Consider the following 12,680-nt stretch of genomic DNA (forward strand, 5'->3'; position numbering starts at 1 on the left):
GATAATTCAGTGAATTTAAAGCAATGGATTTGAAATATCTACTCTGTATATTTTAAACCAGATCAGCCTTTTAGCAGGAACACTTGTCATTTCATTTAATTGTTTAGGCAATTTTGTGAATAAAACACCCTCCAGTGTCCCCTAAAAGAAATCTGAAGTCATTTTCAGAATCATAATTTAGAGTCATAATATCATGTAGTCAGATTAGAAGGAAATTTTTAAAATAATTGTTTTCTTGGCTTTTTTCTAACAGCCTGGTATTTCTGTGACATGTTTCAGTTGGAAGAGTTTTATAACTGAATAGTCACACCTCTTGATATCACGTACTCTTTATTTTCTTAATGTTACAACAGAAAATATAGTGTGAGTTCATGACATGGGAACCCAGAGGTTTCACTGCCCTGCCAGTCATGGTTGGGTCACATTGAATACCTCTGCAACAATTATTTTGCCCTTTATTCAACAAACTGTTTAAAAATTGTGATGTAGCAACTGCATTTCAAGCAAGTTGCTGGGCACTGCAGGTACAAAGATAAGAGACAGTTTCTGCTCTTTCAGGAAGCTCACATTAACATCTAAACAGAGATAGAAAAGTTAATGTTAAATGTTAACATAGTGCAATACATTGTAAATGATGGAAGCAACGTGTGCTGTAGAAATAAGTACTTAGGACCACTTAACCCAACATGCATGCATAGATGGATGTGTTTGGGGAGAGCGTGGTTATGTTTGGGGATGGGGTGACAAATGCAACTGGGAAGGATAGGAGAGAGTGAATCTTTGAAATTCTTCAAAGAGGTAACAACTAAGCTGATTCTTGCAGGATAATATGTGAACTTACCCAAGTAAAAAGGAGGAGGAAGTGAAGGATATCACAGGCCAAGGGAAGGGCATGTACCAAAGAGAGCATAAAAGACCATAGCGCATTGAGGAAATTGCCAGTGTACGGCTGTGACTGGATTGAGGGGTATAAGTATTCTGAGAAGGAGAGGCTGAGAGATAAAGCTGGAGCAGGAGCTGGATGTCTGAGACTTTTCTTAGTGCATGCTAAAAAACATTTAGGATATCGTCTTGAAAGTAATGTGTATACCTTTAAAGAGTATAGAACCGGCTCTGAAGAACTATAATACTATATGATATGAACAAAACATTTTGTCCCTGGAACCGGAGCAAGACTAAGTCTGCTTCTGGGTATAGTTAAGGATGTTCAGGCATACCTGAGAGATACTGCAGGTGCAGTTCCAAACTGTTGGAATAAAGTAAATTTTGCAATAAAGCAAGTAACACGATATTTTTGGTTTCCTAGTACATATAAGTGTTATGTTTATACAATACTGTAGTATATTAAGTGTGTACTAGTATTATGCCAAAAACAATTTACATACCTTAATTAATACTTCATTGCTAGAAAAATGAGCACATGCTGTTGGGAAAATGGCACTAGTAGACTTGCTTGATGTAGGGTTGCCACAGACCTTCAGTGTAACTGCTGTATCTTTGAAGCACAATAAAGCAAAGCACAATAAAACATGATATGTCTGTGGTTTTTAATGTGATATAGAATAAACACAGTTGGAGAGATAAAACTATAGCCTCAGCCTCATAAGCATCATGAACTACCCAACTACCTAGTATCCAAAGCACTTCACAAAACAGAATAAACAATATCATAGTAATCCTATAATCATAATAGCACTATAGTTTGTAGGAAGTTTGAATTAAAACCTGACAAGCATATGATAGTGAAACATCTAGACAGTCTTGATTAAAGATGAATATGATTAAGCATAGGAATTAGATTCATTTGGAAAAAAGTCATGCTGAGCTCAGTTGTGGAAATTCCTCGATGCTATTTGTAGAGAGAAAAGTTAACGTTAAATGTTAAGATTTTCAGTTTCTATTTGACAGCAGCAGGAATTCAGTTTAAGGAGCAAAGCAAAGCAGTTGAGTAAATGTAGTTGTTAGAATATTTAAAAGTGTTTTCCATCTAAGAAAGAGTTAAACTTGGAATATGTGGGGTTAAATTTTAGAAATCATGATATTTGGTGCATATTTGAGTTTTAAGTTGTATTGGAAACGTAAATGTTTTCAAGCCATAGAGCCATTCTAGGTGACATCAGTCTTCCAGTCTTTCTCCTCCCAAGTCCATACATCGAGCCAAACCATTGGCAGCTAGGAAATAATGGAGACCAACCCTTATTCTAAGCAAAGTTGAGAACCGAAGAGACTACTAGGAATTCTATCCACCGAGGTTTTCCTTTTCTATTATCTTTCAGGGCCACCTCTGAAAGGTACTAGAATACCAGAACATTTCGCTTCTGTTGGTGTTGGTATATCACTAGATATAATTTTTCTACTCAGTTAGCTAGTCATGATGTATTCCCCGTGAGACTATGAGTGTAGATAAGCAAGAGAAAACAGGCATAACTATAAGACCTACCTATCTCTTAGAGCCTACTTAGCCTGATAATTATCATCCAATATATGCCAACTTTTGTTAAAGATGGTTTGCAGCTGGACATCCTCAACTTTATAGCTAGGAGATCACATGTCATCTGTTTCATACTGGACAGGTTGGACCACATTGCTAACTGGTGTTCCTTGGTCTTCCAGATAGCCTCTGTTTGATACTAATAGTAGACCAAGAGCTGTTTCTCAAAACAGAAATGCTTTTCACTTTACTTGCTGATGTGAGTATGGTCTTGCTTTACAGCTCTAAGGGTCAAGAAATGAGAGGCAGTGAATTGATTTTTCACTAGAGAAATAGATGTACTGAATAAGATTGTACTGGTAGAAAGTTGGTAGCTATACGTGCAGTCTGGTTTGAGTAATGGGTTATTTCTTTTTTTTTTTTCTTTTTTTGAGACGGATTTTCACTCAGTCACCCAAGCTGGAGTGCAGTGGCATGATCTCTCCTGATTGCAACCTCCACCTCCCAGGTTCAAGAAATCCTCCCACTTCACCCTCCCAAGTAGTTGGGATTGTAGGCATGTGCCACCATGCCCAGCTAATTTTTGGGGTTTTTTTGTATTTTTAGTAGAGATAGGGCCTCACTATCTTGGCCAGGCTGGTCTCAAACTCCTAACCTCAAGTGATCCACCCACCTCGGCCTCCCAGAGAGCTGGGATACAGGCGTGAGCCGCCATGCCCAGCCGAGTAATGGATTATTTCAAACCATCAGGAAAATAAATTAATTAAAGATTAGACTTTCAAGGCGTGACATAAAAATGATCTGAACTTTTTTTTCTAATAAAATGTATCTGAAGGTGCAAAAGAAGATTATATATTTATTTTATAACAGGGTCATGCTCTGTGGCTCAGGTTGGAGTGTAGTGGCACAATCATAGCTCACTGCAGCCTCAATCTCCTGGGCTCAAACGATCGTCTTTTAGTAGCTGCAGTTACAGGTGTGTGCCACAATGCTCAGCTAATTTTCAATTTTTTTTTTTTTGAGACAGGGTCTCACTGTGTTGCCCAGGCTGGAGTGCAGTGGTGTGATCATGGCTCACTGCTACCTTGACCTCCTGGGCTCAAGTGATCCTCCCACCTCAGCCTCCTGAGTAGCTGGGACCATAGACACACGTCACCACCCCTGGCTAATTTTGTATTTTTTGTAGAGATGAACTTTCGCCACATTGCCCAGGCTTAGTCTCGAACTCCTGGGCACAAGCTGTCAGTCCACCTTGGCCTCCCAAAGTTCTGGAATTACAAGTGTGAGCCATTGCACCTGGCCAGATTTTTAATTTTTTGTAGAGACGGAGTCTCACTATGTTGCCCAGGCTGGACTGGAACTCTTGGTCCCAAGCAATCCTCCCACCTTGGCCTCCTAAAATGTTGGGATTATAGACGGGAGTCATCATGCCTGGCCTAGAAGATAATTTTTGAAAATCTATAGGCCTCCACTGCAATTTTACCATCAGGGCTTCCCAATGATATTTTTTAGCGCCATTACTTACAACAGACATTTTAGCGCCACTTGGTTTGCTGGGTCTCAAAGGTCAGGCGTAGAGCCTCCTCTACTGTATCCTCAGTCATCTGGAGAGACTTACCTTGCTCTGCATGATACTCAAAGCTATTAGCTTTTTAGTTTACCTTATAAATGGATAAGAGCTATATATTAAAATATAGAATGTGCTGATTTCAAAGTGTAAAGAGGCCAACAAAGCTTTTTGTCTCCTTGTTAGGAAACAGACAAGGAATATAAATTCTCTTTGACTTTGGGAGGAATATTCTTATCATATCCCTGGATCCTTGGGAACATTATTGACATGGCAAGCCCATGTATTTTTGTAGGATTTAGTTCTCGATTCTGTCTCATGTGTGTATCTTAACCAAGGCACTTCATCTCTCAACTCTTCTACTCTCCTGGTCATAATAGCTTGCTGTCATCAGAGCAAGCTTGATCCTTCAAGGAAAAGTAATATGGAATATTGAGGCAGCCAAGGTTTCTGCAGAGCAGATCGTGGCATAGAACAAGAATTCTTTGTTTCCTTAAAGCAGGTCAGTAAATGTATTCCTGTCCTTGCCAGGTGAAGACAACCTGTTAACTTTTATTCTTTCTGGATAAATATAAAGGAAAAGAGCATTCGTAGGTTAAAGCTACATATCAGATACCAAAGCTGTCTTAATTTGCTCAATAAGAAGACTCCATCTGGAGCAACAACTGCAGTTGAAGTCATCTTCTAATTAAGTTTATGATAATCTGCCATCATTTTTCAAGCCGACTAATTTTTGCAGTAGCCAAACTAGTGAAAGCATTTGTCAAACCTGCAATTCTCTAATCTCCGATGGTAGACTAGTCTCTGCCTTTCTTTTGAGATGCCGTGTTACTGGAGAAAGGAAGCTCTGTTGGTTTTCAGCTGTCCTTTCCTGTACCATGCAGGCACTGCCTAGAATGCCAAAGTTTGGATTCCACCAATTGCTAAGAATATACATTCTAATTATAAACCCAAGAACTGGAAAAATAACAACAATGTCATTTCTTAGCATTATCCTTAGGTATTTGATGTTACCTGATGCTATTATATGTGAGATTTTTAAAATTTTTGCTTTCTAATTGATCGAGTGTAGAAATTCATTTTTTAAAATATTGATCACATTGCCAGTGAATTTGCTAAATTTACCAACTCTTAGTAGATTATCTCTAAATTATTTTGGGTTTTCTACATCACAATCATCATCTGAGACTAATGACTGTTATTTTTCTCTTTCCAATCATTTTACATCTTCTTTTTCTCCCCTTATTGCCCTGGCTAGGACCTTTAATACATTGTTGACTAGAAGTGGTGATAACAGTCATCCTTGTCATTCCTGATCTCAGAGGTAAAACTTTCAACATTTCACCATTAAATACGATGTTTGCTTTAGGACTTTCATGGATACCTTTTAGGAGATAAAGGAAATTGCTTTCTATTCCTAGTGCACTGAGAGATTTTATCATGAATGGATAATGAATTTTATCAAATGCTTTTAGTAAGTCTTTTACAATTATCATATTACTTTTTATATTTGTTCTTTCAGTGCAATAAATTAGATTGATTAGTTCTTAAATGTTACATCTTAAATGTTAAATGTTGCATGTATAGGATAACTGCATTCCAAGTTGATTGTGATATGGTACCCTGTTTACATAACTCTGGGTTAGATTTGCTAAAATTTTGTATAGATTTTTTGTATCTGTGTTCACGGGAGAGATTGGTTTATACTTTTTCTTTCTTGTAAGATACTTTTCAGGTCCTGATGTCAAGGTTATTATGGCCTCATAAAATAAGTAGTCCCTCTTTTTTGTATCACCTGAAAAATTTTGTGTAAAATTGTTATTTTTTCCCTTCTTTAAATAATAAGTTCACCAGTGAAGCTCTCTCTGGGCCTGGAATTTTCTTTATTGGGGAGGTTTTAAAATAAGGATTCAATTTCTGTAATAGATAAAAGATTATATAATTTCCTGTTTCTTCATGGATTCATTTTGACAGATTGTGGAGTTATTTTATAGAGGTATCCTATCTGTTTTATTAGAGATATTCCTCACTGCATTTTATCAGGTGGGGTACAATTTTGATTTGTCCTGTTTCTCATAATGTTCACTTTGATCTCTAGTTTAAGCTGGTATCTACCAGGTTTCTCCACTGTAAAGGTACCCTTCGTAATTAAAAAAGTATTTTGTGGGAAGATACTGTGTAACTACGTACATATCCCATTCCTCAAAAAATTTTTCACTTATTCATATATTTATTTATATCTATATGGACTCATAGTTTTCTCATTTCTTCAGTGAGCAATAATCAGTTACTATATTTATTTTGAGCTCAGATGGTTAGTGGTCAGTGGGAGCACTGTCAAGCTGATTTATTTGTCCTTTTGACATATCCCCATCAGTCTTTGAACATCTCCTCACTTTCAATACACAGACTCTTCTAGGCTCATCATGTACTTTACCTGGCCTCACCCTGGAATTAGCCATTTCTTTATAAAGAATCCTGGTTCCTATTAGTGGATAATAGATTTAGAAGCCAAGACCCAGGCGCTCAGTGGACTCACTGCTGTTGAGGTGGTGGTGGTCACAAATCTCCTCAGTGAGCAAAGCTAGAATATTTATGTGTGGGTGTATGTGCAAATATATGCACACATATATGCACATTTGCACTAATAACTTCTATCTATGTATTTTTAAACTATGAGTTTATGTGGATTGTCCAATTCCAATCCAACACCACAGAATTTGTTTTAGTTTTTTCTTTTTTCATATTTGTAACTCCCTTTTCCATCAGTAAGAAACCTGGCTGCCATTAACCTTAAATATATTTATTATTTGATCAGTCTGCACACATGTTCTCCCATCTCCCTGCACACATGCCCCCTTCACTCTGTTTGAGTTTGGATATCTCATGCTGCCTTTCCCACTTGTGGGTGTCCTCATGACCAGCTGAGCATGGGCTCTGATATCCGAGGTCAGCTTGCCCCACATTGGGTGCCCTCATCGTCCTATCTAGGCCCTGACTTCCTGCCTGAGTTTTAGTACCATGGTCCAGGACTCCTCCTTACTCCACATAGTTGCCCTCTTCACCCCACTTCGCCACACTCCAGGCCACCCTCACACTGGATACCCCGCCCATGCTGCTTAGGCTCTAGTATCCCGATAGGCCACCTGTCTGTGCAGATGCACACCTTACCCTGCTCAGGCTCTGATATACTTCACCAGATACCCCTGTGTGTGGCACCCTCCTCACCCTCCTGGATTTTCATAGCCCACCCCAGTCGCCTGGCTCTATAGCTCTGATACTTCTCATTCTCTGACTGCACATTAGGTTGCTCTCCTTCCTCAATGCGAACACACTCCTTATCTTGTTTGGGCTCTGTTGCCCCAGGCCAGGCTGCCCTCCCATGGGGAGCTTCCTTATCCTGCCAAGGCTCTGACTCCCCTCACTGGGCCTTTCTTACCTGCTTGGGCTTCAGCATGCTCTGTAGGACTGCCCCCATGTATGTGTGATGTCTTTACCCTACTTTACACCTCAGTCTGGTCACTTTCTGAATTGAAAACCCTTCTCACCTGCCCTTGGGTTCTGACACTGCATGTTTGATTGACTCCACTCCCTGGTATGGACATGGACACCCTTCTGTCATCTCACTGGGGCCCAGGCCCTGAGATACCACACTGGGCTGGACATCTTCCCCCTTGGGCTCTAATGTGGCTCTGCACCGCTGTGGCTTCCTTTGCCACCATCAGTGCAGCCCTCTGCCTTCCTCTGCCCCACTCAGTGGCTTTAGGGCTGAAATTTTCAGAAAGAGAAGAACAAAGGTGAAATTTCTGTCTTTTTAATGTCTGTGGGATTTGAAATGATGTCCTCTTTTTATTCCTGGTATTAATACTTTATGTAATCTCTTTTTTTCTGGACTCGTCTCTTCTAGTAGTTTATCAATTTTATTCGTGTTTTCAGTGAATTTTATTTTGATGCTTTCTGTTATATGCTTGGTTTTTTATTTAATTTCTGCTCTTTATTATTTCATCCCTCTACTTTCTTTGGATTTAATTTGCTGTTTTTGTTAACTTTTTTTTTTACAGTGAGTTTTTTTTTTTTAATTATACTTTAAGTTCTGGGATACATGTGCAGAACATGCAGGTTTGTTACAAAGGTATACATGTGCCATGGTGGTTTGCTGCACTGATCAACCGGTCATCTACATTAGGTATTTCTCCTAATGCTATCCCTCCCCTAGCCTCCCACTTGCTGACAGGCCGTGGTGTGTGATGTTCCCCTCCCTGTGCCCATATGTTCTCATTGTTCAATTCCCACTTATGAGTGAGAACATGCGGTGTTTGGTTTTCTGTTCCTGTGTTAGTTTGCTGAGAATGATGGTTTCAAAGGATTATAAATCATTCTACTATGAAGGCACATGTACACGTATGTTTATTGCAGCACTATTCACAATAGCAAAGACTTGGAACCAACCCAAATGCCCATCAATGTTAGACTGGATAAAGAAAATGTGGCACATATATACCATGGAATACTATGCAGCCATAAAAAAGAATGAGTTCATGTCCTTTGCATGGACATGGATGAAGCTGGAAACCATCATTCTTATTTTTGTTAACTTCTTGAAGTGGATTCTTAGACCATTGTTTTTCAGCCTCCCACCTCCCCCCAATATTTTATGCTCAGACCTATAAATTTCCTTCTAAGCACAGATTAGCCACATTCTACAAGTAGTTGTGTAGATCATTTTCATTATCATTCTCTTCAGGATATTTTTTTTTTATTATACTTTAAGTTCTGGGATACATGTGCAGAACATGCAGGTTTGTTACATAGATATACACGTGCCATGGTGGTTTGCTGCAACCGTCAATCTATCATCTACATTAGGTATTTCTTCTAATGCTATCCCTCCCCTAGCCCTCCATCCCCTGACATGCCCCAGCATGTGATGTTCCCATCTCTGTGTCCATGTGTTCTCATTGTTCAATTCCCACTTATGAGTGAGAACATGTGGTGTTTGGTTTTCTGTTCCTGTGTTAGTTTGCTGAGAATAATGGTTTCCAGCTTCATCCATGTCCCTGCAAAGGACATGAACTCATCCTTTTCTATGGCTGCATAGTATTCCATGGTGTATTTGTGCCACATTTTCTTTATCCAGTCTATCATTGATGGGCATTTGGGTTGGTTCCAAGTCTTTGCTATTGTGAATAGTGCTGCAGTAAACATACATGTGCATGTGTCTTTATAGTAGAATGATTTATAATCCTTTGCCTATATACCCAGTAATGGGATTGCTGGGTCAAATGGTATTTCTGGTTCTAGATCCTTGAGGGATCGCCACACTGTCTTCCACAATGGTTGAACTAATTTACACTCCCACCAACAGTGTAAAAGCATTCCTATTTTTCCACAACCTCTCCAGCATCTGTTGTTTTCTGACTTTTTAATGATTGATATCTTCAGGATATTTCTAATTTGTATTGTGATTTCTTCTTTGATCCATGGATTATTTTGAAGTATATTTTAATCTCTAGTTATTTTCGTTTAGATTTCTATACATTTTCTAGCTATATTTTTGTTTCTGATTTCTAGTTTAATTCTGTAGTGGTCATGTTACCAGTGGATGTCTTGACTATGAGTCGTCCAGATTCTTGGTGTTTTGAACAAAGAATTGGACAAAATGCATGAACAAAGCAACGAAAAAATCAAGCAATGAACGCATAGATTTATGCTAGCATAGATTTAAGCATAGTGAAACGAAAGTACACTCCACAGAGCAGCCCAAGAGCACTGGCTACAGAATTTTCTGGGATTTAAATAACCTCTAGCGGTTTCCCATTGGTTACTTGGCTACATCCTATGTAATGAAGGACGGGCCTGTGACCAGTCTGATTGGTTGGAGGAGGCGACCAATCAGAGGCTGAAGTGAAGTTACAGCGTTACACATGAAGACTTGGCTGGTCACCAGTCTGATTGTGGGAGGAGACCAATCAGAGGTACTTCCCATTTTTCATCTGCCACACAGTGCAAAGGGAGTAGCCTCTGATCCTTTTGTTACTTGGGTGTGGAGAGGTGGGGTTTTACTTTTGATTCAGTTCTAGGAAGTCAGCATGGCCTTAGGTTTCCTGCCTTCGGACTTTATTCTCCTGCCTCATTTAGAAAACATCCTCTTCATGCTTCCAATTTGTGAAATGTATTGAGACTTAATTAATTGCTCAGCATATAATCAATTTTGGCAGATTTCCACAGGCACTTGAAAAAAAAAAGAATTCTGCAGTCGTTGAATATACATCATTTTTTTTTTAGAGCTGTGGTTCTCACCACTGTTTTAAAAGTTAAGAACCACAGGTCATATTCCGTGTGTGCACACATGCTATTTTTTCTATGGTAAGAAAATACTTCATCTTGTTTTGTAGGTGCTATGCAATATGCAGATGGTAAATTAAAATGCTTAAAATATATCCATGCCTAAATCCTCTTATAGATATATCATTTATATAAAAATCGGGGTATGAAATTAGGTAATAAAGCAGGAACTAAAGTAATGGGAGGGCATCATCACGTGGTGTTTGATAGTTCCACTAGAAATTTCTTCTTAAGGTTGATGTTTACAGTGTAATTTAACAATAATAATATAAATTTTGTTACTTTATAAAATTATTTAAAAATTTTTCTTATATCAATTACATTTAAGCCAACTCTTAGTACACTATGTAGAATAAAAACAGATTGCAAACATTTAAAAAGGAGGGATCTTCATAACTATATTTTTTAATGAAATTTTTATTCCACCTACATTTGTGTGTTCTACACTTTAAAAAATAAAATGCAAAAATGAAGTGAAAAGTAAAGATAAAAGGGGGTGGTAATACTATTTTCAAAACTTGGAGGATATGGTGTGGCTAAAATAAATTTTATATATTCACAGCTTTAATGTTGTTTCTCTCAAATCCAGAAAACAGTAGTGAAGTCTACCCATTGAGCCCACTTAACATCTTTAAATATCACAAACCCATTTTGTGTAACTTGTGCCTTGGTCTCTGGAGCAAGAGTTACACTAAATCTAAACTAGCGCCAGATGCCTGGAGCTCAGCTGTGAAAATACACTTAGTTGGCCCACAGCTAGGCAAGGACCTAATATAAAAAAGCAAACCAAAGGAAATAAGGTGTAACATCATTACCAAACCAAAATTATACTGTGCTGGCATATCAAAAGGAACCTCAGAAAAGGATTATTATATTGAGGAAAAATATAACCACAGGCAGAAAAAAAATACTCTGATCAAGAAAACAGGCCTGGCGCAGTGCCTTATGCCTGTAATCCCAACACCTTGGGATGCCGAGGCAGGCGGATTGCTTGAGCCCAGGAATTCAGGATCAGCCTGGGCAACATGGCAAGACCCTGTCTCTACAAACAGTTTTTAAAATTAGCCAGGCATGGTGGCTCATGCCTATAGTTCCAGCTACTTGGGAGGCTGAGGAGGGAGGATCACTTGAGCCTGGGAGGTCAAGACTGCAGTGAGCCATGTTCACTGGATCATGAACTGGATCATGTTCATTTTGTACCAACATTCTTTCTCTTTCATCCTCCCTCCTGGATCCTACATTGTTTAGGCATCTACTCTTTTCCATATAGATATGAAGAGTGAAGCTGGCCCCATCCCCAGCTTCAAATTTTGATGGCTTCTGATTAATTTAAGCCAATTATGGTCATCCCATTTCTTCTACCAATGATGGATTTAGGAATAGACATGTGACCCAGGTCTGTGCATTAAGATCTGTGAGGCAATATGCTCAAGACTTCTAGGAAAGATCACCACTCTTCTAAGAAAAAAGGTAAAGGAGTAGATGGTGTGCTGACTCCCAAAACCACTTACGTTGGAAAATTTTTAATTGACTTTGTGTTGCAGTATTTAGGTATTACCGTTTAATTCAGTGGCTAATTAAATATGTACTTTTAAAGGGGCAGAGGATGCCAGTTTAATGATTAATAAACTATATCCATTGAGAATATATTTGGAAACAGTAGAAAATCCAACTATTATAGTTTTTTTTCTTTTTCTTTAACAAATAGGGATTTGTCTCAGGTGTCAAGTTTGGAGGTAGGTATTTAGTGATGTTTCAGATACCGGGCTTTTCATTTTCCTGCTTCTGCCTTCCTAGCTTTCATTCTCATACTTGTCACTGTATGGTCACAAGGTAGCTGCTGCTACTCCTCCAAGAGGGAAGCAGGCGAAAGGCAAAGGGACAAAGGGGCATGCCAGTAGAGTCTACCTGCTTTTATCAGGAAAACAAAAACTTTCCTGGAAGGTTCACTCTGAAATCTGCTTAGATCTCATTGGCCACTCCTAATCAGAATGCTGCTTAGGAGAAAAAGAGGTTATGGATGGAGTCAAGTCAGTCTGCCAGCGGTGGCAGCCACACATACTTACCTACCACATAAATGGATCAAGCCAATTAACTGCCTAAAACCACTTGTCTCTTTACTATTCTGGAATTCTGTGGGTTTTTTGGCTATGACTTGCAACATGTCTAATCTGTCTTCTTGAATTTAGCTTCAACTTTATTAATTCAGCCACTTTTTTACTTTTTGCTTACGTTATAAACTAAAGTTAGTACAGCCGGCCCTCCATGTCTGTAGGTTCTGCATCTGTGAATTCAACCAACCTCAGATGGAAAATATTTGAAAAAATGTATGGTTTC

At 38.7% G+C, this 12,680-nt stretch overlaps 1 protein-coding gene across 17 annotated transcripts in view, besides 1 other annotated feature; it reads left to right on the forward strand.

The window, feature by feature from the left end:
• SYT14 (synaptotagmin 14) overlaps positions 1–12,680 on the forward strand; it is a 233,173-nt gene that overhangs the window by 141,920 nt on the left and 78,573 nt on the right. The gene's annotated exons all lie outside the window — the stretch shown is intronic.
• Positions 118–287: an enhancer, noted in NCBI's record as "experimental_2922 CRE fragment used in MPRA reporter constructs". NCBI's record gives its function as "activates a minimal promoter by MPRAs in K562 erythroleukemia cells, with activity observed for both the introgressed and non-introgressed 1:210253684 variant alleles {active_cell/tissue: K562}" and the evidence as "EXISTENCE:reporter gene assay evidence [ECO:0000049][PMID:34662402]".

The sequence above is a fragment of the Homo sapiens genome, chromosome 1, assembly GCF_000001405.40.
Source record: "Homo sapiens chromosome 1, GRCh38.p14 Primary Assembly".
Classification (NCBI taxonomy): domain Eukaryota; kingdom Metazoa; phylum Chordata; class Mammalia; order Primates; family Hominidae; genus Homo; species Homo sapiens.